Raw genomic sequence first — 25,228 nt, 5'->3', positions numbered from 1 at the left:
GAGATAGACCAAATACTTTTTCACATAATTTTTATCTCAGTTTTTCTGCAGGGAACTTTTTTATATTAGCCAGTGTTCACAGCTGGTATTACAAGATGAGAAAGTTGGGGGAAAGGAGGAGGAAAAAGCACTGTATTTATTTAAGAAACATTTTCAGTATAGTACTTTCTGAAACATGAAATAAATATTTTATCCTCCACTGTCATTTTAGTGAAGCATGAAAGCTGAGGAAATACTAAGAAGTAATGGATGCTTACCTTTTTTTTTCTTTGCAAGGGGTCAAAGCTCTTCCCTTTTTATACCCGTGAAGTACAGAGGAACAGGTACTATTTCTCTTTTTCAGTTAAGGAAACTTAGGGAAATGACCTATTTTACTTCAGGTACTCAAGGAAGTTGTAAATGTTGATCCTAAGCCCTTAAGACCCTAGGCTATACATTAGTCAGCTGCACAGAGATTGTGGCAGAATCAGCTACCTAATTTGCAGGGCCCACTGCAAAATGAAATGTGGGATTCTTTGATCAAAAAATTATTAAGCGTTTGGAGATAATGACAACAGAGCAGTAAACCAATAGCAGGGTCTTTCTAAAGAGCAAGGTCCGGTGCACCTGCACAGATTACAAACACATGATGTTATTCCTATCTTGTAAGCTTGGACCACCCCACCAGTAAGAGCTAGACACAATTCCTGCTGTGGTTAAGCTGCAGATGACAGTACTCTTAGCTATCAAAGGCAAGAGCCAGGAAAGAATGCAGAGGCAAGAACTCTGTTAGGCCAGAAAAACAAAGTAGGGGTGGGAGTAAAAGCTTTGGTAGGGTGGGTACCCAGATACTTAGGATTTCCTGAGGCACACTGGATCTGTAGTTTAGGAAAGCACTCTACTTCTAAATGCACCTAGCAAGTAGACTTTACTCTCTTGATAACTGTCTGTTACTTAATGTTACTGTCTGTTACTTAATAACTGTCATGTTACTACATGCCATTTGCTAAAATATAGACCTCCTTTTTGAAGGTTGAAAATGAGGTCGAATATCTGTTAAAACCAGATGACTCCCCAGTCAAGTGTTTCAACAACAATCACAACAAAAGTTGTTTATATACTTCTGGTCACTAAGTTAATCAATGAATATTTATTGAGCACTTATTATAAGTCATAAGCACTATTTTAGGCAGTAGAAAAATAGCAGTGGAGCAGGATAAACCCTTGACTTTAAGAAGTGCACATTCTGGTGGATTCTACAGAAGTTAGAGAACTGCAATAAATTTTAAAATACACAATTTGGTTTTATTGTTTGAATTAAACTCTTTTTCTTTGTACTTGAAGCAAAATAAAAATAACTGTCAGAATCAAGATATATTTTTACCATAAAGAAAAAAAATCATATTATAAAATATTAGGAAAAAAAGTAGGTTCCTAAGGGATAAGAATTTTTTTCTCCTCCTTCAAGATAGATTAAAATACCACAAATATAAAGGTCACATAAGTGACACTCATTTGTGGGATATTTTTAACATGAAATTAAAGTAGGGATGATTCTGGCATTGTCCTTTTGTCAGGTGTGGTATTTTGTAATATTTATCTTTTGCCATAAAATCATGTTTTGATTACCATAAAATCCTGTTATTACTTAGTAGGATTCATTTAATGTATTATATTATTTTATAAGACTTTGTCACAGCCGGGTATTAAAAAGAAAGAAACAAACAGAAAGCAAAACAAACAACAAAAACACCAAGATAGTATAATTATAATGCCTCTTGAGGGAAACAAGGGAAAAAAAAGAAACCTACAACTTTGAAACATGGTTGAAAGTTTGATAGCACATGTTAAGATCCTTTTGAATGCAGAAACAATTTTGAAACTCCATAAAATCCTTTATTTCTCATGATAGGAGAACACTAGACATTCCACAGATACTTCAAAATTTCTCCTTGGAACATCATATAATGAAACTTAAAACATTAATAATAAACACTTATATTTCCACATAGTCTGTGCACCTCCTTTCCTCATCCCTCACCATGTCATTATAACTTGGCAAGACTCTCTGTTTACCATTCACTAATGTCTTTTTCCCTTCTTGTTTTTTGCTTTAAAATTATTTAGCATTTGTTTATGAAAGCTACAACAATACATACAAGAATGCTGTCTTTTTGATTCCTACATGATTTGCTATATTAAAACAAATTATGTGTTTATTGTTTGCTTTTAAAATCAATTCACTAGAAATGCATTAGAGATCTATTATGTGCAAGAAAAGTATTAGAGGGATGCAGAGGTTTGGCAGTGAGTATGAATGTATAAGGGATAAATGCATAAGACATGATCCCTTCTACTTATTCAGGAATAAACCAAGTACCTTTGTGCATATGGCTTCCTCATATTGGAATGCCATTCTCCTATTCTCTAACCCCTGGAATCTCTACATCCTTCAGCTGCCTTCTTCTCTGTGAAGCCTTTCTGGAATTTTATAATCAAAGTTCATTACCCATCTCTACTCTCAAGAGGTTATCATATGTTTATATGGCATTAATAATTTTGCCCTTTTTAATTATCATTTTTGGTTCTATGTTTGATTTGACCCATTATATCTGTGCTGTGGCTATTCAATTTAAATTAAAGTGAAATAGTATTAAGAATTCAGTTCTTCACCTGTACTAGCCAAATTTAATTGCTCAATAGCCACTTTTCTCTAATAGTTACTATGTTGGTCATCAGAGACTTAGACCATTTCCACTATCACAGAAAGCTCTATTGGACAGTGCTGCTCTAGACTGTGCATGCCTTTGAAGGCAGTGACCATAATATTGAAACTAATAAGATTCCAAAATTAATAAAATAATATGTCTAAATGAGGTATATCACAGTGGCGGTGTGGGGCAAGAAGCAGGGGCAGTATTGTTTGGCAAATAGACACAGAGCTTTGTGTTATCTTAAGTGGGTTCTGTTACATTTGAGAAGATTTCATTCTACTTTAAAGAAAGGCATGCATCTAAAATAAATAAAGGTACCAGGAATTTAAAACACCATAAAAATCATATAGAACATGTGCCTCAAATTTTAATAAATGTGGCCACAGTGAAGTAAATGGATTAGGGAGATAATATCAGATTTTGTCTATCAATCCAAATATCCTTAATATCTAGTCTACATTCCTTTTCAATATTCTTTAGAAAAAGATTGTTATAATGGCCTTCAAATATAAGAATTCTAAGAAATTCTGCACTAATACCAAAGAAATGAGCACTTTTACTCTTTACTCATACAATGAAAAAGTAAGTTATTGCATTCAATTGAGCTTGAAAAATAACACATAAAAGTATTGGTTTGATAAAACATGCTCCCTCCGTTTCTAAGTCTATAGCCATATAAAGCCATCAAATTTTGCTCAATGTATACATTGGTCTTCAATTTAAAGATTGTCCATAAAGTAGTGTGGATATTTTGCAAGGGGAATAGGCCTGGTACAGAGGAAGGAGCACAGACTTTGGAATCAGACTAACTGGGCTTTCAGTCCCAGCTCTGCAGACTGACATTATTGTGTTGGGAGATACTTAAGTACTCCCAATCTAAGGCCACTAATCTTTACCATGCAAGTTTTTTTTTTTTTTTCTTTTTTAACCAGTAGGTGGCCTTTCAATACTGAGTTAAAAACCTGCCTTCCAGTGAACTTTCAGTACCTTCACCACCTAATTACAGCCAAATGACCTGGGATGTCATACTTGAGTTTTTTTTTTTTTGATGAATGATTTTATCATTGTCTGTCTTTAGATCTTATCCATATTTCTTTGGTGGCAAGAGTTACAACTAAGACAAAGTAATCTGAGCTCTCTATTCTGTTTGTTTTTTGTGTTTTTAGGCATATACCATATTGTTTTTATTACTATAGTCTTGAAATAAAGCTTGAAATCTGAAAGTAAAAAAAGAAGACAAAGTAAGGACAGTTTTAATGGGGTTTTAGGACAGAGATGGCCTATGCTATTTAGCTTGAGTGTAGCTGAACATAATACAAAGCTCTCAAAATTAAAAGGAATTTTAGAATAATACGTGCCACTTTATGTGCCAAGAACAGCACAAATGTTTGATTGGGCTGGCCTGAAGAACTTTACTGTATAGTAACAACATTCACTACTCTAAGGACCTAGAGCATGGTAGAGTTATGTCCACTTGAATGTTATGACAGGAGAAGGGATTAACGACATTTATTTGCCTGGTATTAAGACCCTAAATTATAAGCAGCCCCATTCCAACACACACACACACACACACACACACACACACACAATCTGACTTTTGTTTATTTTGAACCCCTTTTACAATGCCTACCTATTTAACCATCTGATTTGCTTTGCGTGACATAGGGGCATAGAGTGAGCTAGGTAGGTTTCTGAACCCTATGCTTTGACTATACTTAGTTAATCTCTTACCTGAATGAAAGCCTTAGGTTTCTCATCTGTGTAATATAAATAAAAACACTTACCTTGTATGATTATTTTGTTTTGAAGTTTAAATGAGAAATAGATGTTCTAAAAATTACTGATATGATACTTTCTTAGCAAGCATTAATCTTCCCCCTTCCTTACATTTCTCAGAGTTATGTTGTGAGGATTCAGTGAACTAATGTGATATATCATGAGAGGTGAAGAGCATAGAATTTGAATCAGATCTGAATTCAAATCTTGGCCCTGCTACTTATCAACTGTGTGACACTGGGGTATTATTTCATCTTTTAAAATATTTTTGTTTTTAAATTTTAAAATGGGAATAATGATCCTAGTTCATGCAGTTTTTGTGAGGATAATGTAAAATGCATATACATTTCCCTGGGCTAGACCTGGTGTTTTCCATACATTACTAAGCTATTATTAAAACACTACCCCAGTTACTATCTGTAGTCTGATTTATGTTCAGCTTCTTTGAAGATATCTTCCAAACTAGATCATGAGTTTCTGGAGTGTTAGGAGGCGGATTTGACTCTGTTGAAGTCTGAAGAACCATTGGAGTAGTGCTAAGTGCATTATGCTCATGTCTGTTCAACTTTTGGCCAGTAGAATAAATGCTTGGGGTTTTCTACCTACTTAGCTATCAGTCACTATCCTTCCGATGGCCAATAGGAGCAAAAGGTTTGGGTAAATTATTAATGTAAAGAAAGCTGAATCAAATTCCTAGGTTGTCTAAGTATAATATCCCAGCAATTGTATTGGGTGACTAGAAACTTATAAATGATTAGTGACAAAAATTTGGCTCAATTTTGTATAATATTTATCAATTTATCTCATACATAGGCTATATCTACTGTATTACTTTAAAAAAAATGTATGTTTGTGTGTGGTCTACTATGATGTCATGTAATGCATGCCCCTGACATGTACTGAATGCTCCCTAATGACTTCATGATGACTAGTTTTAAGGAAGAAAATAAAATTTAAAAAAGGAAGTGAGCATAAGCAAAGAGGGAAGAAAGGAAAGTGATCAGGATGAGGAGATGGTGAATACAACCAGAGACTGGCCTGGTCATTGCTTTCCTAACCTTCATATATGGATCTCTTAGTATCATTATACAGTTTTGTTTAAAAATATTATTTTTGTAAAAGCATCATAGCTGTTATTTATTTATTTTTGAGACGGAGTTTCGCTCTTATTGTCCAGGCTGGAGTGCAATGGTGTGATCTCAGGGTCACCGCAACCTCCGCCTCCCGGGTTCAAGCAATTCTCCTGCCTCAGCCTCCCAAGTAGCTGGGATTACAGGCATGCACCACCACACCTGGCTAATTTTGTATGTTTTTTAGTAGAGACGGGGCTTCTCCCTGTTGGTCAGGCTGGTCTCGAACTCCTGACCTCAGGCAATTAAACTACTAAAATTAAGTATTTGAGAGCATGAAAGATAATTTAAAAAGCATGTACTGTAAACCAACCAAAAACAGATAATCTTGGAAATAAATTTTTCCTTAGTATTCTTTAAAATAATAAAATATACTGCAAAATTTTCAAGCATTTCCAAATCTTACTTTGTCATGCAATACTTGCTTATGCAGCAGTGACCTTGTTGATGCTATGTACAATCTGTCATTTTATGGATTATCCCTACTAGGTAGATGTTAACCACTTCTTGACAAGAAAGGCAGGACACAGAAAGTTGAATGGTTTGTCTTGGTTTCTCACAAAATAAGAAATAATCAGAATGAGATTTTTATGGTGTGGGCTCTCCTGCCTGATTTATTATTTTGAACTTTTTATGTGGTTCTGTCTATGGAGAAATTGAAAAGTAAACAGATTTAGGGACTGATTGCTGTATATACATTGTTTTCAGACCATAGGAGAGACAAACTTCCAGTTCCAGTTATTTCTGTTTAACATTTCTCTGCAAATCAGCAAGGCTTGTTTTATCCAGGCTTGGCCAAGTTAAATATATTCCCTGTATTTTTCCCTTATGTTTGGATATCTAGCAAAATATTCCTCATTATACTGTTTATTGAAGTGAAAACTTGTATGTGATTGTATGAATGCCTAATAGTCTTGAAGTAAAGGCCATCAAATTCAATAATGCCTGGAGAGATTGCATGTATTCTTCTCTACCACATATTTATAGCATTTGTTTGGAGTGCCAAAATTTTTGTTTTAGTTCTATAGATAAGAATTTCTCAAAATTTTTTAAGATTTTTCAATTTCTCCTAAACATAATACATAAGGAACACTTTTTGGATAAATGCTGTGTAAAGTTAGCAAACAAAAACAAAAACAAAAACATTATTTTCTTTTACCGTGTCCCCTGATCTCAAATCTTTTCATTTCTCTGTTTGTTTGTTTTAAATGTAATTTTAGAGGGCTGCTGAAGTATCAAACTAATTTAGATACCCACCCTCCCGGCTGCATCAGTCTTAACCGAACCAGCTCTCAGAATATTTCCTTACCAGAGTATTTCTCAGAACATTTTCATGAACCTTTCCCTGAAGGATTTTCAAAACCGGCAGAGTTTACCCAGCACAAATTTGTGAAGATTTGTATGGAAGAGCCCAGATTCCAAGCTAATTTTCCACAGGTCAGATTAATTTTGTGTTTGATCTCCACAAAGTTTGTTTCCATTTGACTGATCAACATCACATATAAATGTGTTTTTCAAGCTATATATTCATGCATAATAGGATATTTCAGGATGTTTCAACAGTAAGTTAGTACCTATTATTCCATTACAGGTACCTGAGAGTTCAATGCAAAAGGTCTATGATATTAGAGGATATATAACATTTCTACTTAACTGACCATATGACCTTTGCATACAACAGCATTGGTGCTTGCAGCCAAGAGATGACAAATATTTTTTCCCATCATTTGAGAAAAGCTGATTGAATAATAAAAATAGTAGTTAAAAAAACCTACCACCAATACCACAAATTATTATTTTATTGTATTATATTATTATGTATAATATTGTAAATAGTAAATAGCAAAATCAATTTATTGAATGCTTAATATTATCTGCCAGGCATTGTGCTAAAATGTCCTGTATGCCTAATACAGAACACTTATTAGACATACAGAATGTTTCTTGCAATATTCGCAATGACTATTTGAAGTAATTAATATCACCCTCGATTTTCTGATAAAGAAATTGTACTTACCTTGATCAAAATCTCCAAACCAGTAAGTGGCAGAGGAAGCATGTAAACCCAGGTCTTTGACTAATATGCTTGCTCCTGGTAAACGTCCATAAGTATTCAGCGATTAGTTCAATAAGGGCCCTTATCTTCCTCTGTGCCTGTGAGAACTGCCCCCGTGCAAATTACACCTTTTATTCCTCACCTATAAAAAGTGGAAGTAGGAAATAGTGATGTCAAATGTCTCTATTGGAAGAGAAGAAAGAGAAGTCAAAAGCTAGAATGAATTTGTAGATGACTTTGGAATAGTGTATTAGTCGTGTTTATTATTATTAATAATAATCCTCTAGATCCCTATTAGCCTCTATAATTTTCAGAACTTTTCTGAGTTTCACATAATATTCACAAATATTAGGGCAGGTATGGCGACTCCCATTTTGCTCATGTGGGACCTGACACTCAAAGAGTAAGTGATTGTCTCAAAGGTGCAAGGCTGCTACATTGCAGACCTTGTCTTGTAGTGCTACTCATAACACAGTGTGGGGCTAAATGTTATTATATGCAGAAGAGGCATGGTCTGTCTGCATGAAAGAAGGAAGATTTGAAACAACTAAAGTGAGGCTTTAAAAAGTGACCATTAAGACAAGTTTTAGTTGGAGGCCTCAAAGGGATGTGAAAGATAAAGTGTGTAATTTTAGGAGAACAGTAAGCCACATAGGCTTCTGCACTTCCCAAAGTTTGCATGTGTCCTGGGATCAGGGCTAACCATGCAACACATATTCAAAACTGTCATGGTTTCCAAATTATAAATATTATTTTATGTTCTTATTATATTATATAAAAGTAAGTGGTAAACAACATGCCTAGCATATTGCATCTTTAAACATATGTGCTATACATATTTAACATATATATATATACATATTATATGTATGTATATTATGCATATACATTATGTACATTAAAAATCTAGGGTTTTCTTATTTAATAAACATTAGACTGTTACCTTATTTCTAAAATTATCCCCAGATTTATCGGAGATTGTTAACTCCCCTTTATTCTTTTATTAAATATATTGTGTATATACATTACATATCTGTAGGCATAGAAAGGTGTATGAAAGAATATATACTTGTTTGCTCATGGATAGTTACACCCAGGGCATGAGATTGAGGGTAGGGTCTTGATATTACTTTCTGTTTTATTTTATACTTTTGTTTGTTTGAATGATAGTGAGCATCTATTATTTTTTACTCATTTGTTATGTTTTCTTATTTAAAATACAAATTAAAATACTATTACTGTAATGTATGCAATAAGCAATTGGGCAGGGTGTAGATTTCTACAATATGAGTATTTCTTGAAGTATATTTTCAAAAATTTGTCTTAGACTTGGCTTTGGATTTCTGGACCTTTGTGCCTGTACTGTGCCGAAAGACTTTACAGGTATATCCGGAGCAATAAGCCAGTCACCATCATTTCGGTCATGAGTCATCCCTCAGATGTCATGGAAATCCGAATGGTCAAAGAAAATTTTAAAGCAAGACCTGGTCAGGTGAGTCAGTGGTCAGCAACTTTTTAAATAGCCTTTATCCTTATGTAATTTTTGGAATTTAGCAAACATAGCATCATTGAAATAGTTGAAATTCTTAATTGGTCATTTAAAACTTATCTGTTTGTTGCTTTTTAGTATATTACTCTACATTGTCCCAGTGTATCTGCATTAGAAAATCATCCATTTACCCTCACAATGGTAAGAAACATATCTCTTGCTTTTTCACATTTGTAGGGTGCTATGCATATTTTTCTTTTTTTGTGTCCTGTCTCATTCTAAAAGGTATTCAAGGCTATCATAGTACTCTTGATGTTTAAGTAAGCTATCTTTTTACAAGGAAAATAGTTATCTGCTCAAGAACTGTGTAACTACACTTTATTATTTTTTGACACCTTGCAATTCAGGAAGTAATGAATTAAAACGTATTAAAGCTTGTTGATTCAAAATATAGGCCAAGCACAGTGACTCAGGCCTGTAATCCCAGCACTTTTGGAGGTCAAGGTAGGAAGACCACTTGAGCCCCGGATTTCAAGATCAGCCTGAGAAACATAAGGAGACACTGTTTCTACAGTAAATAAAAAAAAAAAGCCAGATGTGGTGGTACACATCTGTAGTCCCAGCTACTAGGAAGGCTGAGGCAGGAGGATTGCTTGAGCCCCAGTGTTTGAAGTTTCATTGAGCCTTGATCCCACCACTGCTCTCCAGCCTGAGCAAGAGAGTGAGACCTTGTCTCAAAAAACAAATATATATATATATATATATATATATATATATATATATATTTAATTTCTTGAATATTTACTTTTCTCCTTTTATGGAGTATTTTAATGTATATGGAAATCTTATATATGCACAATTTTCTTTGGAGATGGAATTTAGGGGAAATACGGATACTCTGGGTTGAGGTGGAAACATTAAACAAAACAGGCAGTGTTTAGAAAAGGTAAAATCCAGTGTAATGGGAGAGAGAATGGAAATAAAATTAGAAAAATCAAATGGAGTAAATAATGGCATGGGAGGGCATCTAGCTAAATAATGGACACCATCAAATATGATTAGCTAGTCAGCATATCATTTAATATTATTATAATTATAAAAATAGCATGAGTTCATTATAAACATTTAGACAATTCACAGATATAAAATAAAATACAAACTTAAAAAAATTTTTCCCCACTTTCCAATCCTTTTCTCTACTGTTTGACATATGTCTTTCCAGATATTTTCCCATATGCTTCTGCATACATGAGTTTCTAACATTTATTTGCTGGATCATATTGTTTTGTAACTGGCTCCTTTCACTCAACTACATGTGATGGACATCTTTCCATATTACTGTATGTGCCTCATTCATGTTAATGACCATATAATATTTCACAGTAGGAAAGTACTGTAATTTATTTAATATTCTCATTGAAGTTGGATATTTGGACTTTATTCATTTTCTAAGAAAGATAATTGAGAACAGAGACCACATGTTTAAATGTATACTTAAGAAAGATAGCAAAACTATTTTATATATATGGTATGTATACATGCAGACAGATGGGAACATGTTGTAAAGCATGTTGTAAAACATGTTCCCATCTGTCTGCATCTATACATCCCATATACATGAAATTGGTAACATGAAAATAGAAGGGAATAATTGAAAAGGGAGAAAATACACAAGTAAGTTTGTCTTTACTTAAATAACTTAAGAAGTTTTGCCTAATCCTGAGTTCATAAGAAATTTACTTCAGATTGCCCTGGCCAGAACTTCCAACACTATGGTGAATAGGAGCGGTGAGAGAGGGCATCACTGTCTTGTGCCAGTTTTCAAAGGGAATGCTTCCAGTTTTTGCCCATTCAGTATGATATTGGCTGTGGGTTTGTTATAAATAGCTCTTATTATTTTGAGATACGTTCCATCAATATCTAGTTTATTGAGAATTTTTAGCATGAAGGGCTGCTGAATTTTGTTGAAGGCCTTTTCTGCATCTATTGAGATAATCAAGTGGTTTTTGTCTTTGGTTCTGTTTATGTGATGGATTACATTTGTTGATTTGCATATGTTGAACCAGCCTTGCATCCCAGGGATTAAGCCAACTTGATCTCGGTGGATAAGTTTTTTGATGTGCTGTTGGATTCGGTTTGCCAGTATTTTATTGAGGATATTTGCATCAATGTTCATCAGGGATATTGGTCTACAATTCTCTTTATTTGTTGTGTCTCTACCGGGCTTTGGTATCAGGATGGTGCTGGCCTCATAAAATGAGTTAGGGAGGATTCCCTCTTTTTCTATTGATTGGAATAGTTTCAGAAGGAATGGTACCAGCTCCTCTTTGTACCTCTGGTAGAATTTGGCTGTGAATCTGTCTGATCCTAGACTTTTTTTTGGTTGGGAAGCTGTTAATTACTGCCTCAATTTCAGAGCCTGTTATTGGTCTTTTCAGGGATTCAACTTCTTCCTGGTTTAGTCTCGGGAGGGTGTATGTGTCGAGGAATTTATCTATTTCTTCTAGATTTTCTAGTTTATTTGTGTAGAGGTGTTTATAGCATTCTTTGATGGTAGTTTGTATTTCTGTGGGATCAGTGGTCATATCCCTTTTATTATTTTTATTACATCTATTTGATTCTTCTCTCTTTTCTTCATTATTCTTGCTAGCAGTCTATCAATTTTGTTGATCTTTTCAAAAAACCAGCTTCTGCATTCATTGATTTTTTGAAGTGTTTTTTGTGTCTCTCTCTGCTTCAGTTCAGCTCTGATCTTAGTTATTTCTTGCCTTCTGCTAGCTTTTGTATTCGTTTGCTCTTGCTTCTCTAGTTCATTTAATTGTGATATTAGGGTGCCAATTTTAGACCTTTCCTCCTTTCTCTTGTGGGCATTTAGTGCTATAAAGTTCTCTCTACACACTGCTTTAAATGTGTCCCAGAGATTCTGGTATATTGTGTCTTTGTTCTCATTGGTTTCAAAGAACATCTTTATTTCTGCCTTCATTTCATTATTTACCCAGTAGTCATTCAGGAGCAGTTTGTTCAGTTTCCATGTAGTTGAGCAGTTTTGAGTGAGTTTCTTAATCCTGAGTTCTAACTTGATTGCACTGTGGTCTGAGAGACAGTTTGTTGTGATTTCTCTTCTTATACATTTCCTGAGGAGTGCTTTACTTCCAGCTATGTGGTCAATTTTGGAATAAGTGTAATGTGGTGCTGAGAAGAATGTATATGCTGTTGAATTGGGGTGGAGAGTTCGTAGATATCTATTAGGTCCGCTTGGGGCAGAGCTGAGTTCAAGTCAAGGATATCCTTGTTAACCTTCTGTCTCATTGATCTGTCTAATATTGAAAGTGGGGTGTTAAAGTCTCCCACTATTATTGAGTGGGAGTCTAAGTCTCTTTGTAGGTTTCTAAGGACTTGCTTTATGAATCTGGGTGCTCCTGTATTGGATGCATGTATATTTAGGATAGTTAGCTCTTCTTGCTGAATTGATCCCTTTACCATTATGTAATGGCCTTCTTTGTCTCTTTTGATCTTTGTTGGTTTAAAGTCTGTTTTATCAGAGACTAGGATTGCAATCCCTGCTTTTTTTTGTTTTCCATTTGCTTGGTAGATCTTCCTCCCTCCCTTTATTTTGAGCCTATGTGCATCTCTGCACGTGAGATGGGTTTCCTGAATACAGCACACAGATAGGTCTTGACTCTTTATCCAATTTGCCAGTCTGTGTCTCTTAATTGGGGCACTTAAAGGGTATTCAGTTAGGAAAAGAGGAAGTCAAATTTTCCCTGTTTGCAGATAACATGATTGTATATTTAGAAAACCCCATCGTCTCAGCCCAAAATCTCCTTAAGCTGATAAGCAACTTCAGCGAAGTCTCAGGATACAAAATCAATGTGCAAAAATCATAAACATTCCTATACACCAATAACAGACAAACAGAGAGCCAAATCATGAGTGAACTCCCATTCACAATTGCTTCAAAGAGAATAAAATACCTAGGAATCCAACTTACAAGGGATCTGAAGGACCTCTTCAAGGAGAACTACAAACCACTGCTCAACAAAATAAAAGAGGACACAAACAAATGGAAGAACATTTCATGCTCATGGACAGGAAGAATCAATATCATGAAAATAGCCACACTTCCCATGGTAATTTATAGATTCAATGCCATCCCCATCAAGCTACCTATGACTTTCTTCACAGAATTGGAAAAAACTACTTTAAAGTTCCTATGGAACCATAAAAGAGCCTGTATTGCCAAGACAATCCTAAGCCAAAAGAACAAAGCTGGAGGCCTCATGCTACCTGACTTCAAACTATGCTACAAGGCTACAGTAACCAAAACAGCATGGTACTGCTACCAAAACAGAGATATAGACCAATGGAACAGAACAGAGCCCTCAGAAATAACACCGCACATCTACAACCATGTGATCTTTGGCAAACTTGACAAAAACAAGCAATGGGGAAAGGATTCCCTATTTAATAAATGGAGCTGGGAAAATTGGCTAGTTGTATGTAGAAAGCTGAAACTGGATCCCTTCCTTACACCTTATACAAAAATTAATTCAAGATGTATTGAAGACTTAAATGTTAGACCTAAAACCATAAAATCCCTAGAAGAAAACCTAGGCAATACCATTCAGGACATAGGCATGGGCAAGGACTTCATGACTAAAACAGCAAAAGCCAAAGCAAAAAAAGCCAAAATAGGCAAATGGGATCTAATTAAACTAAAGAGCTTCTGCACAGCAAAAGAAACTACCATCAGAGTGAACAGGCAACCTACAGAATGGGAGAAAATTTTTGCAATCTACCAATCTGGCAAAGAGCTAATATCCAGAATCTACAAAGAACTTAGACACATTTACAAGAAAAAAGCAAACAACCCCATCATAAAGTGGGCAAAGAATATGAACAGACACTTCTCAAAAGAAGACATTTATGCAGCCAACAGACACATGAAAAAATGCTCATTATTACTGGCCATCACAGAAATGCAAATCAAAACCACAATGAGATACCATCTCACACCAGTTAGAATGATGATCATTAAAAAGTCAGGAAACAACAGATGCTGGAGAGGATGTGGAGAAATAGGAATGCTTTTACAGTGCTGCTGGAAGTGTAAACTAGTTCAACCATTGTGGGAGACAGTGTGGCGATTCCTCAGAGATCTAGAACTAGAAACACCATTTGACCCTGTGATCCCATTACTGGGTATATACCCAAAGGATTACAAATCATGCTACTATAAAGACACATGCACACGTATGTTTATTGCGGCACTATTCACAATAGCAAAGACTTGGAACCAACCCAAATGTCCATCAATGATAGAGTGGATTAAGAATATGTGGCACATATACACCATGGAATGCTATGCAGCCATAAAAACAGATGAGTTCATGTCCTTTGTAGGGCCATGGATGAAGCTGGAAACCATCATTCTGAGCAAACTATCACAAGGACAGAGAAGCAAACACCACATGTTCTCACTCATAGGTGGGAATTGAAGAATGAGAACACTTGTACACAGGGCGGGGAACATCACAAACCAGGGCCTGTCATGGGGTGGGGGGCTAGGGGAGGGATAGCGTTAGGAGAAATACCTAATGTAAATGACGAGTTTATGGGTGCAGCAAACCAACGTGGCACATGTATACATATGTAACAAACCTGCACGTTGTGCACGTGTACCCTAGAACTTAAAATATAATAATAATAAAAAAATTACTTCAGAAATTAACCTTCCCTTGTGTTGGCAACTTTATTTTGAAAATCATTTCTTCACCATAACATTAAATAGGAAATATGGAATAAGAAAAGAAATCAGTTGCTGAGTGTCAAGTACAGAGCAGCAAGAGTTTTTTTTTTGTTGTTTTTTAAACTATTTTTCAACATAAACAAAAGTAGAGAGAATAGTATAATGAATCCTTGTATTCATAAAAAATATAGAGGTTAGTTTACTTTTTAGTATATACTCAATCACTGAAAACTTTTTTACTTTCTTAAAACAGTGTATCAAAGAATTTTTCACCTATGTTCACACTGAAGAGAGGCTTCTAGATCAATTTCTTTCAGCAGGCCTAGGCCCTTTTCACAAGGCAAAGGGAAAACACAAAAGAAGTAGTGTGTAGAGCTGGAAGGGCTTTAAGTAAGTCCCTTCTATGGCCTGGCCTGCTTCTTAAGATGTGATTATGGTAACAGATGTGATAGCCCTGTGGCCAGCTTGAGGCAAAGATGGGAAGAAAAGGAAGAGGAGAGAAGTGAATGTAGGTACAGACAGAAGAAAAGGAACTGGAGGTAGAAGACGACTGAGAAAGGAAAATTGAATTATATGTGAAATAAAATAGTAGTAACTATTCAGACAAAGGGCAAGGATTTTAGAACTCAATTCCAGATCCCTCACTTGTTACTTCTGTGTCTGTGAATGTATCTCTCAACCTTGCTAAGGCTCAGTTTCATCATCTGCAAAACAGTGCTAGTGATACTTACCTGGAAGGGCATCTTTGATATTGTCAATATTAGTTTATAAAATAATGTGTATAAAACCCTTGGCACATCATTAGTGGTCAATACTTGGTAATACAGATATTATTATTACTTTCATAATCTTAAAATACCTGGTTTTAACTTGGATTATTGCTTTCATTTCTGAAATTATGCTTTTTTTGAGAAGCAAGTACAAGACATGAGCATGTGGCTTTTCAACTTGAAAATGAGAAACGGGAATATGAAAGTAGTCTCAGGTACTGAAAATCTGTCGTGTGGGTGAAAGATTTGATTTTTTTTTTCCTTTGGGATCCCAATAGGCAGAAAGTTTTAGGAAAATACATTTTTATTTAACATAATAAAGACATTTCTAACAATGAGACCAGTCTAGAAATTACAAAGAGCTATCTCACAGAAGTGTTTGCAAGGATTATTGCACTAGATCAGGATTTTTCAATCATGGCAGTATTGACATATTGGATCAGACAATTCTTCGATAGGATGTGTTGTTCTGTGTATTATAGGATGTTTTGCAGCATCTTTAGCCCTGACCCACTAGAAGCCAATAGTATCCCCCACTGTGACTTCCAAAAGTGTCTCCAAATGTAGCCAGATGCCTTTTGAGGGGCAAAATCACCTACAGTTGACAACCACCGCATTAGATCGATAGTTGTCCAACATAGCTTCCAGTGCTAAAGGTCTTCAGCACTTTAGAGGCCACTGTGAGAAAGGAGAATTTAAGCACAATAGAGAATTTGAGGGATGGGAGTGCTTATCTTTTGTTCTGGGGACACCGATCATGTCAGTGAGAACAGCTCACTTCCAAATGGTCTCTGTTATGAGGATTCTGCTAAAGTACTCATATAAACATCATCATCTAAAAACATATTTTGCTTACTCAACTTGAATCCTTTTTGGAATTCCATGAAAATTATTTTGGTTACCATGAGCTCCTGAATACTTTCATGTCATGTAGACCTTTGAAAGAGAATTTGATTACTTTTAAAATTCAGAATTCTTTTTTTTCATATTCACTGTCATCAATGCCCAAATAACAGTTTGGATATGAATCAAAAGGAAAAGTGGGATAGCAGTATAAAACTCTAACACGTTCATCAATAATTAAAATGACATGAGGATAGCCTCATGTACTTGATATTTTTGTCATATAAATGAAAGGTTTGTTCTTTCCCCCTGTGGAATCTCGAAGTGTGGAAATAAGAACAGTACATTGTTCTTGGAGAACAAATACTGGTTTAGTGACCACTTTGGGAAATAATGTGTTTGGGTTGGTGAAAAAAGACAAGAGAGCTTTTCCTCACCTCACGGAAGCTCCATTAGTTATATGAGGCTCTGGAGCCTCCCTATGGGTTGCCTCCTACAGCAAAGGACATCTCACCCCGGGCCTTCACTCTTGAGGTGGCCCAGGGAGCCCTCAGTATGAAGGCTCTGAGTCCATTGCAGGCTTGTTTCAGAAGATTCAGGTTCAGAAGTGCAAGAGATGAAGATAAAGAGGTTGGGTGTGTACAGTCTATATCCATCATAGTTTTTCTTTTCTTACTTTTTCATTTAAGAAAAAAAATTGTCTTATTTCTTCTGGTTCTGTAAGAATATTTTACCAAAATGACAGAGAGGAGAAAAAAGGATAATTGTAGTAAAGCAGGTTATTGGAGACCACTTCTTCCATTCTTTTAAAGAAAGATTGTTCTCTGGAAATTATCCCAGGTCGGGAGAGGGGGCACAGGAGGAAGGAAGGAAGGAAAGAAGGAAGGAAGGAAGGAAGGAAGGAGAAGGGGAAGGGGAAGGGGAAGGGGAAGGGAAAAGGAAAAAGGAAGGAGAGAATGAAATAAAATACATTTTTCAATGGCCTAGTTTGGAAAATGCTGATTAATATGTATTTTAAAGTGCATAGTGCCTACTAATGTATTAATGGTTTTGAGGAGTTCTTTAATATATAATCTCATTAATTTTTTTTCTTTCTTTCTTTTTTTTTTTTTTTTTGAGACAAGGTCTGCCTCTGTCACCCAGGCTGGGCAGCAGTGGTGTGATCATGGCTCACTCCAACTTGGACACCTGGGTTTAGCCTCCTGAGTAGTTGGGACTACAGGCACATGGCACCATGCCTGGCTAAACTTTTTAAAAAATTGTGTAGAGATAGGGCCTCGCTATGTTGCCCAGGCTAATCTCAACCTCCTAGCCTCAAACAATACTCCTGCCTCAGCCTCCCAAAGTGCTGGGATTACAGGCATGAGCCACCCCATGCCGCCAATCCCATTAAATTTTGTTCACTCATTTAGTTAATGCTTTCTCATTTTCCCACTTTTGGGTCTCACCCTGGGAAACAACCTCATTTTCTTCCATGTATTCACACCTTAAACTCCACCCATTCTCTTTGTCTGGGAACTCTTACTCATCCTTCACATCTCATCTTCATATCACTTCTGCTGAGGAGCCTTCACTGACCCTTCCCTATTAGATTAAGTTTCCTGACCTTTCCTTTTATGAGCATCCCATGTACACTCTTCAACACCAGTCATTAAATTATTTGTTTAATTAATATCTGTTCTCCTCATAGACCATAAGCTCCATGAGCCCTTTGAAAGATGAATTCATAGCACAGTATGTGGTGCATAATCAATGCATATCTGTTGAAAGAGTAAAAACCACCTAATATATAGAGTTCAGGACCTAGCTTGAGAAATGCTTTGTAGACAGAGCCTCCTTCCCCCATCTCTTTATAGCACAGTCTTCCTTAGAGGGTGCAACTACAGAAAAGGAAATGTTGGAGGGATAAAGAAGAAAGGAGAAATATTTATTTCCAAAGTGGCTCTCATTTGGAGTAGACTGAGTCAGAATAGAGTATTTAATTAAAGTCTAATATTTGAGATCATGGTGCTTATTTCTCTCTAACAAAAGAGGAGGGGAAAATGTACCTATGGCAAAGGTCTTTAGAAAGAACCACCAAAGACAAATAGACGCAATTTGTGGATTATATCTGGTCTATGATGAAGTCATTTTTCACCTCACCTCCCTTATTCTCAGCACAAATAATAACAGAAAATTACTTGCTCCTAATTCTGTGCTTATCTGACAAATGCCGTCAATATTTCTTGGATTCATCTAGCACCTTGTAGGCTGAAGTAGAACTTGACTCTACAAGGTTAGGTTTTGCATTCACATTCATTCATATTTTAAACATCAGTTTCTGTATGTTTTACTTATGCTTTATTAAATCTCAATTATAAATACTAACTGTTTTCTTAAAACCACTCTATCTCATAGATATTTTAAATTGTTACAATAGTTGGCTTTAAATAAAATTTTAAGGCAAAGAAATTATTTTTATCAGACCATCTGTTTATCATGTAGGCTTAGGAAGTGGTTTATAGCTTCCCCAGATTTGGGGGGTTACAAGCTCGCTCATTTGTACTATCCCCCAAGGGAGTTTTTGTTTTCATAAGTGGAAAATAGGCAAACTTGCTGCTACCTAGAAATGAATTTGAGTAGGGCAAATATTTCTAAGCTAAATTTTACATTATGCTATTATGCTAATTTACAGTCTCTTCCTGCCATTTCCTTCTCTGTCCAATTACTTCTATTTGGCACTTAGAAATGTAAAATGCATGCTTTCAAACATTTTCACTGCATAGTTGTCTTAAGAGTTCCCTTGAAGTAAAACAAAGCAATTTCCCATATGGTGATTCCCACTAAACAGTGAGTATCACATCTTTGTCAAAGATAATAGTACCTACTAATTAAGTGCCTAAGAGGTTCTTTCATAGCTTTTGCAAATATTATATTATTTAATTCTTATTATATTCCTATGAGACACGTATTGTTAACTCGGTGACACAGAAAAGAATGTGGCTCAGAGAGACTAAATAGCATGCCCAAAGTCACACATTTAGTTGAGGTAGAGGTGAGATACAAACACAGACCTGTCTGGCTGAAGGCATGTTATTAACTGTTCTGCACTGTCTCTCTCCTGCCACACTATCCTTCCATGCTGAGGGCTTTCATATTGCTAACACTGCTCTTACTTTTGGACATCTATGTTGCTGGAGTCAGAAAACAAAAATAAGTAAAATTACCATTTCGAACTGAGGTTTATTGAAAGCACAAATATGTGTTTTCTATAGTAATGTGAAAGCTTTCGATTGTCCATACTACTAAGCTCTTCTAATATTGTGAAGTGGTGAAATTTGAATAAATCCCCCTGTTTTTAAAAAGTCTAATACTTATTTTCATATACTGTGCCAGTTAGAAACAATCAAATCAATAATATATACAGCTATTACAAATTCAGTAGTTTGAGTTTTAGCTCACTTTTTAAGATGGAGATTAAGCTTTTCATACTGAAAGTATAACTTCAAAGTACAAAAGACAGGGCACAGAAATACTATTTTGGTCAAGGTAAAGCTAAGCTTTAAGCACGAATTTATTAGGAGGGCAAAGGTTGGAGTTTTGATTATTTAAAATGCTTCACTATTTTTCATACATGTCATTGACTTCCCTACACAAGAAGGATATCCTGATTTGATGGGTTTTCCAAGGAAATTGTGATTGTTTCTTGCTGTGGTACACCTATATTTTCTCATGGTAAAATCTCACACACATGTTTGCTGACAAGATTGATGGAAATTATAGGACCTTATGTAGTATCAGATCATGGATTTTGGAATACCACAGCTTGGGATGGAGACCTGTATGCTCTACTTCCTAGTATTATGACTGTGGACATGAAAATTAACATAATCTTTTGTTTACTTCTTTATAAAAGTGCAGTTAATGATAGCAACTTCTCCATGGAGTTACTCTGAATATTAATCCAAAACATATAATTAAGTGGTATGTGTGGTGCTTGGAATATAGTAAACTCTCCATAAGTGGATTTAGTTATGGTTGTTTCAGATAGTGACTAAGGGACCAAAGACATGGATTAAATTAAGATTTTTTGCCTCGTTCTTCAGTATGTAGTAACTGACTAAGCTTTGGCCACAGATTGGTGTAGAAACAGTCATTTGAGGGGAACTGATGACTTATTTGCCTTTTATGGTCTTCTAGCCTTAAGGATGAATGACGTTTTAGGTTAGGTTTCCTTGAAAACAGGCTGGCAGGCATATTGCATGCAGCAGATTTGTTGGGAAGGATGCTTAGGACAACAGTCAATAACGATTGACTAAAAAGGCAAGGCAGAACTTGAACTATGTGATACAGGTCCATAGAGGTCTCAGAAGATCTGACAGGAGCTCTGCAGATGAAATGATAGCTTATAGTGTCCTGTCTTGAAGTCAGGGGGCCAAATCTTTGTAACCCCCAACTGACCAGTCATTGGATTTGAGATACCTCCATGGTGAGGCACTTAGACATAGGCAAGGAAGCTTTGTTCTGTGGATTCCTGGGGCAGGTCTCAGTGGTGAGCCCTCCCAGGCAACCTTTTCAGAAGCTGGAAGAATGGTGAATGAGTGTGTTGATCCTGGAAGTTGGGCAGAGGTTGGGAAGGGAAAGGGTCTGAGCAGTGCAGCACAGTGTCCATTAAGTAGCTTTTAAAAACATAGATCGTTTATGAGATAATTCTCCATTTTTAAAACTAGAAATTAAATTTGAGGTACATATAAACTCTAGTTTATCTATACTAATTGAACTTTAAAAATCTGTTGTCCAAACTACAAATTTATTTACATTTGAGAAGTCTAAAGCATAGACTGTTGAAGTGACCAAAGTAATCAAAATAATACAATCAATAGCTGGAACCCATTTGTTGACTCTTCTCCTGCTTTACACCTTTATTGATTTAAAACCTGTGTAGAATGTAACGTTTTGTTCTTCAAGTATGTAATGGATGTCTGCAAGTATTTTCCAGCTGTGCTCTGTGATTACCAAATTTAAGACTTTCTACCAAATCAAATCCTTTATTAAGGTGTGCTCTCACCTAATTTACCTGTATAAATTAGAGATGATTGGAAAAAGCCCTAACGTAAGAGAGCAAGAAACCTAGTGCTTCCTACAAAATGTAGCATCTTTTCATATTTAGCTGAGGTAGACATTATTTTCATACTAATTTCATGGATTCTCAATTATGGAAATAATGCAGAATCTGCCTTTTAAATAGAAGTAATGAATCGATGTTTACATGAATACCTCTTTATTCTTCTGTTATTATTTTTATTCAGGAACAAACTGTCACATGCGTCCCTGTGAAGAGACCACCAAACAGGCTTTGTGTGAGCAATAAAGCTTTTTAATCACCTGGGTACAGGCAGGCTGAGTCTGAAAAGAGAGTCAGTGAAGGGAGACAGGGATGGGGCCATTTTATAGGATTTGTGTAGGTAATGGAAAATTACAGTCAAAGGTGGTTGTTCTCTGGCGGGCAGGGATGGGGGTCACAAGGTGCTCAGTGGGGGAGCTTCTGAGCCAGGAGAAGGAATTTCACAAGGTAATATCATCAGTTAAAGCAGGAACCGGCCATTTTCACTTAGTCTGTGACTCTTCAGTTACTTCAGGCCATCTGGATGTATACATGCAGTCTTGGGCTGAGAGGCCTGACATTCCTGTCTTCTTATATTAATAAGAAAAATAAAACAAAATAGTGGTAAAGTGTTGGGGTGGCGAAAATTTTTGGGGGTGGTATGGAGAGATAATCGGCGATGTTTCTCAGGGCTGCTTCAAGCAGGATTAGGGGTGGCATGGGAATCTAGAGTGGGAGAGATTAAGCTGAAAGAAGATTTTGTGGTAAGGGGTGATATTGTGGGATTGTTAGAAGAAACATTTGTCGTATAAAATGATTGGTGAGGGCCTGGATATGGTTTTGTATTAATTGAGAAACTAAACAGAAGACACAAGGTCCAAATAAGAGAAGGAGAAAAACAAGTATTAAAGGACTAAGAATTGGGAGGACCCAGGACATCCAATTAGAGAGTGTCCAAGGGGGTTCAGCATAATTACTTGCTTGGTTGGAGAGTTTTTGGGGCTCTATCCTTGAGTTTTTTTATGTTGTCATACAGCAGGCCAGATTGATTTAGGTAAAAACAACACTCTTCATTTAAAAATAGAGTCCTCTTTTTTTAGCAGTGAGTAAGTCGAGGCCTCCACGATTTTGGAGGAAAGAGAAATGCAAAGCCAGCAATTGTTTAAGAAGGATTAGAAATGGCTAGGAGAGAGTGAGGGAGATTGATGGTGTGGTGGGGATAGTTGGGGAGAGGTAGAGTGTGGCATAAGAATGGGAACAAGAATAACAGTGCGTATAAAAGTAAAGAATAGGACTTCATCAGGGTGAAAGTTTTGGAGGGTACCCTGTCAGCAAAGATCATCTATCCTCTTTAAGAGAGAATTAAGGGTGGCAGTTTGAGGTAAAACCAGGAGATATCAGTTATGATGGTTTGAAGGAAAAGTGTAAACTGGCAGTGTAAACAAGGGCAGGATATTTATGAGTAGTTGAGAATGATGAATAGGAGTTTGACTAGACAGAAGATAGTAGGGATGACAAATTTTTGGGGTGTGGTTCAAGTTGGGCTGGTGTCTAGAATGAGACTGGGGCCTAATAAAAAGGAGCATCCATACAGGAGCTCAAATAGGCTATACCCTGTAGCATCCTGAGGACAGGCCAGAATTCTGAGAAGGGCAAGTGGTAAAAGTATTGTCCATTCCTTTTTAAGTTGGAGGCTGAGCTTGATGATTTGTGTTTTTAAAAGACCATTAGTCCATTTTACCTTTCCTGAAGATTGAGGACAGTAAGGGGTATGAAGGTTCCACTGAATACCAAGAGCCTGAGAAACTGCTTGGGTGATTTGACTAATAAAGGCCGGTCCATTATTGGACTATGTAGAGGTGGGAAGGCCAAACCAAGGAATTATGTCTGACGGAAGGGAAGAAATGACCATGGTTACCTTCTCAGACCCTGTGGGAAAGGCCTCTATCCATCCAATGAAAGTGTCTACCCAGACCAAGAGGTATTTTAGTTTCCTGACTCGGGTCATGTGAGTAAAGTCAATTTGCCAGTCCTGGTCAGGGGCAAATTCTCGAGCTTGACTTGTAGGGAAGGGAGGGGGCCTGAAAAATCCCTGAGGAGTAGTGGAATAGCAGATGGAACACTAAGAATTGATTTCCTTGAGGATAGATTTCCATGGTGGAAAGAAAATGAGAGGTTTTAAGAGGCAGGCTACCAGCTTGTAACCTACATGAAAGACGTTATGAAATGACAACAGAATAGAATGAGCCTATGAGGCTGGAAGGAGATCCTTGGTCCAAGAACAATTTGCCTTGTTTGGGAAGAGATTGATAGTTGGAAGTTTCAGTGGGGGAGTAGGTGGGAGTGACTGATGAGAAGGAGAAAAACTTCCATGAGGAACAGAAGTTGGAATGCTAGCTGCTTTTTTAGCTACCTTAACAGCATAAGCATTACCCTGAGGGATGGGATCTGATGCCTTTTGATGACCCTTGCAGTGAATGACTCCAGCTTCCTTTGGAAGTAAAGTGGCCTTGAGAAGTGTTTTTATTAAAGAGGCATTAATGATGGAGGAACCTTGCATAGTGAGGAAACTTATTTCTGCCCATATAACAGCATGGTGGTGCAGGATATGGAAGGCATATTTAGAGTCAGTATAAATATTGATGCATAGTCACTTTGCAAGAGTGAGGGCTCCAGTTAAGGTAATGAGTTTGGCTTGCTGAGAGGTAGTGGAGGGGACAGAGCGGTAGCCTCAAGGATAGATGTGGAAGATACTATAGCATAGCCTGCCTTTGCTAATGAGTGGCAATTAGGCCTGGTGGAACTGCCATCGATAAACCAAGTGTGATCAGCGTGAGGAAGAGGAAAGAAGAAAATATGGGGAAATGGAGTGAATGTCAGGTGGATCAGAGAGATACAGTCATGGGGGTCAGGTGTGGTATCTGAAATAATGCGGGGGCCAGCCTAAAACAGTAAGGTCAAGTTGTTTGGACAGAAAGGCTACAGGGTGCGGTCCCAGCTCTTGTGTAAGAATTCTGACTGCACAGCCCTGTACTTTGGCTGTGTGTAATGAAAAATGGTTGGGATGAGTTAGGGAGAGCTAGTGTGGGAGCAGCTTTAGGGATGTTTTTTAAGGAATGGAAAGGGGAGTGGAGAAAGGATTTAGGATCTATGGGGTCACCTAGATTTGCTTTGGTGAGTTTATATAATGGTTTAGTCAGGATGGTAAAAGTAGGTATCCAAAGGCAGAAGTAGCCAACCATGCCTAGGAAGGAAAGGAGTTGTTGTTTTGTAGAAGTGGTTGGGGTTTGGGAGATTAGCCAGACATGATCAGCTGGGAGAGCATGTGTGTTTTCATGAAGAATTATGCTGAGATAGGTAATGGATGAGGAAGAAATTTAGGCTTGACGGAAGTAATGGGGGCTGTCCGTGAAGCCTTGTGGCAGTACAGCCCAGGTAATTTGCTGAGCCTGATGGGTGTCAGGGTCAGTCCAAGTGAAAACGAAGAGAGGCTGGGATGAAGGGTGCAAAGGAATAGTAAAGAAAGCATGTTTGAGATCCAAAACAGAATAATGGGTTGTAGAGGGGTTGTGGAGGGAGGTATTGCAGATAGGAGAGTATATGGGTTTGGCACCATGGGGTGGATAGGCAAAACAA

At 36.7% G+C, this 25,228-nt stretch overlaps 1 protein-coding gene across 8 annotated transcripts in view; it reads left to right on the top strand.

The window, feature by feature from the left end:
* NOX4 (NADPH oxidase 4) overlaps window positions 1–25,228 on the top strand; it is a 265,205-nt gene that overhangs the window by 180,193 nt on the left and 59,784 nt on the right. For all 8 annotated transcript variants that reach the window (NM_001143837.2, NM_001300995.1, NM_001291926.2 and 5 more), the window contains 3 exon segments: window positions 6,823–7,039; window positions 8,986–9,150; window positions 9,286–9,348. In NM_001143837.2, coding sequence (NP_001137309.2) covers window positions 6,823–7,039; window positions 8,986–9,150; window positions 9,286–9,348 — 445 coding nt within the window.

The sequence above is a fragment of the Homo sapiens genome, chromosome 11 (assembly GCF_000001405.40).
Source record: "Homo sapiens chromosome 11, GRCh38.p14 Primary Assembly".
Classification (NCBI taxonomy): domain Eukaryota; kingdom Metazoa; phylum Chordata; class Mammalia; order Primates; family Hominidae; genus Homo; species Homo sapiens.
The sequence above is the reverse complement of the archived record's forward strand: the minus strand, read 5'-3'. Positions and strand labels throughout refer to the sequence as shown.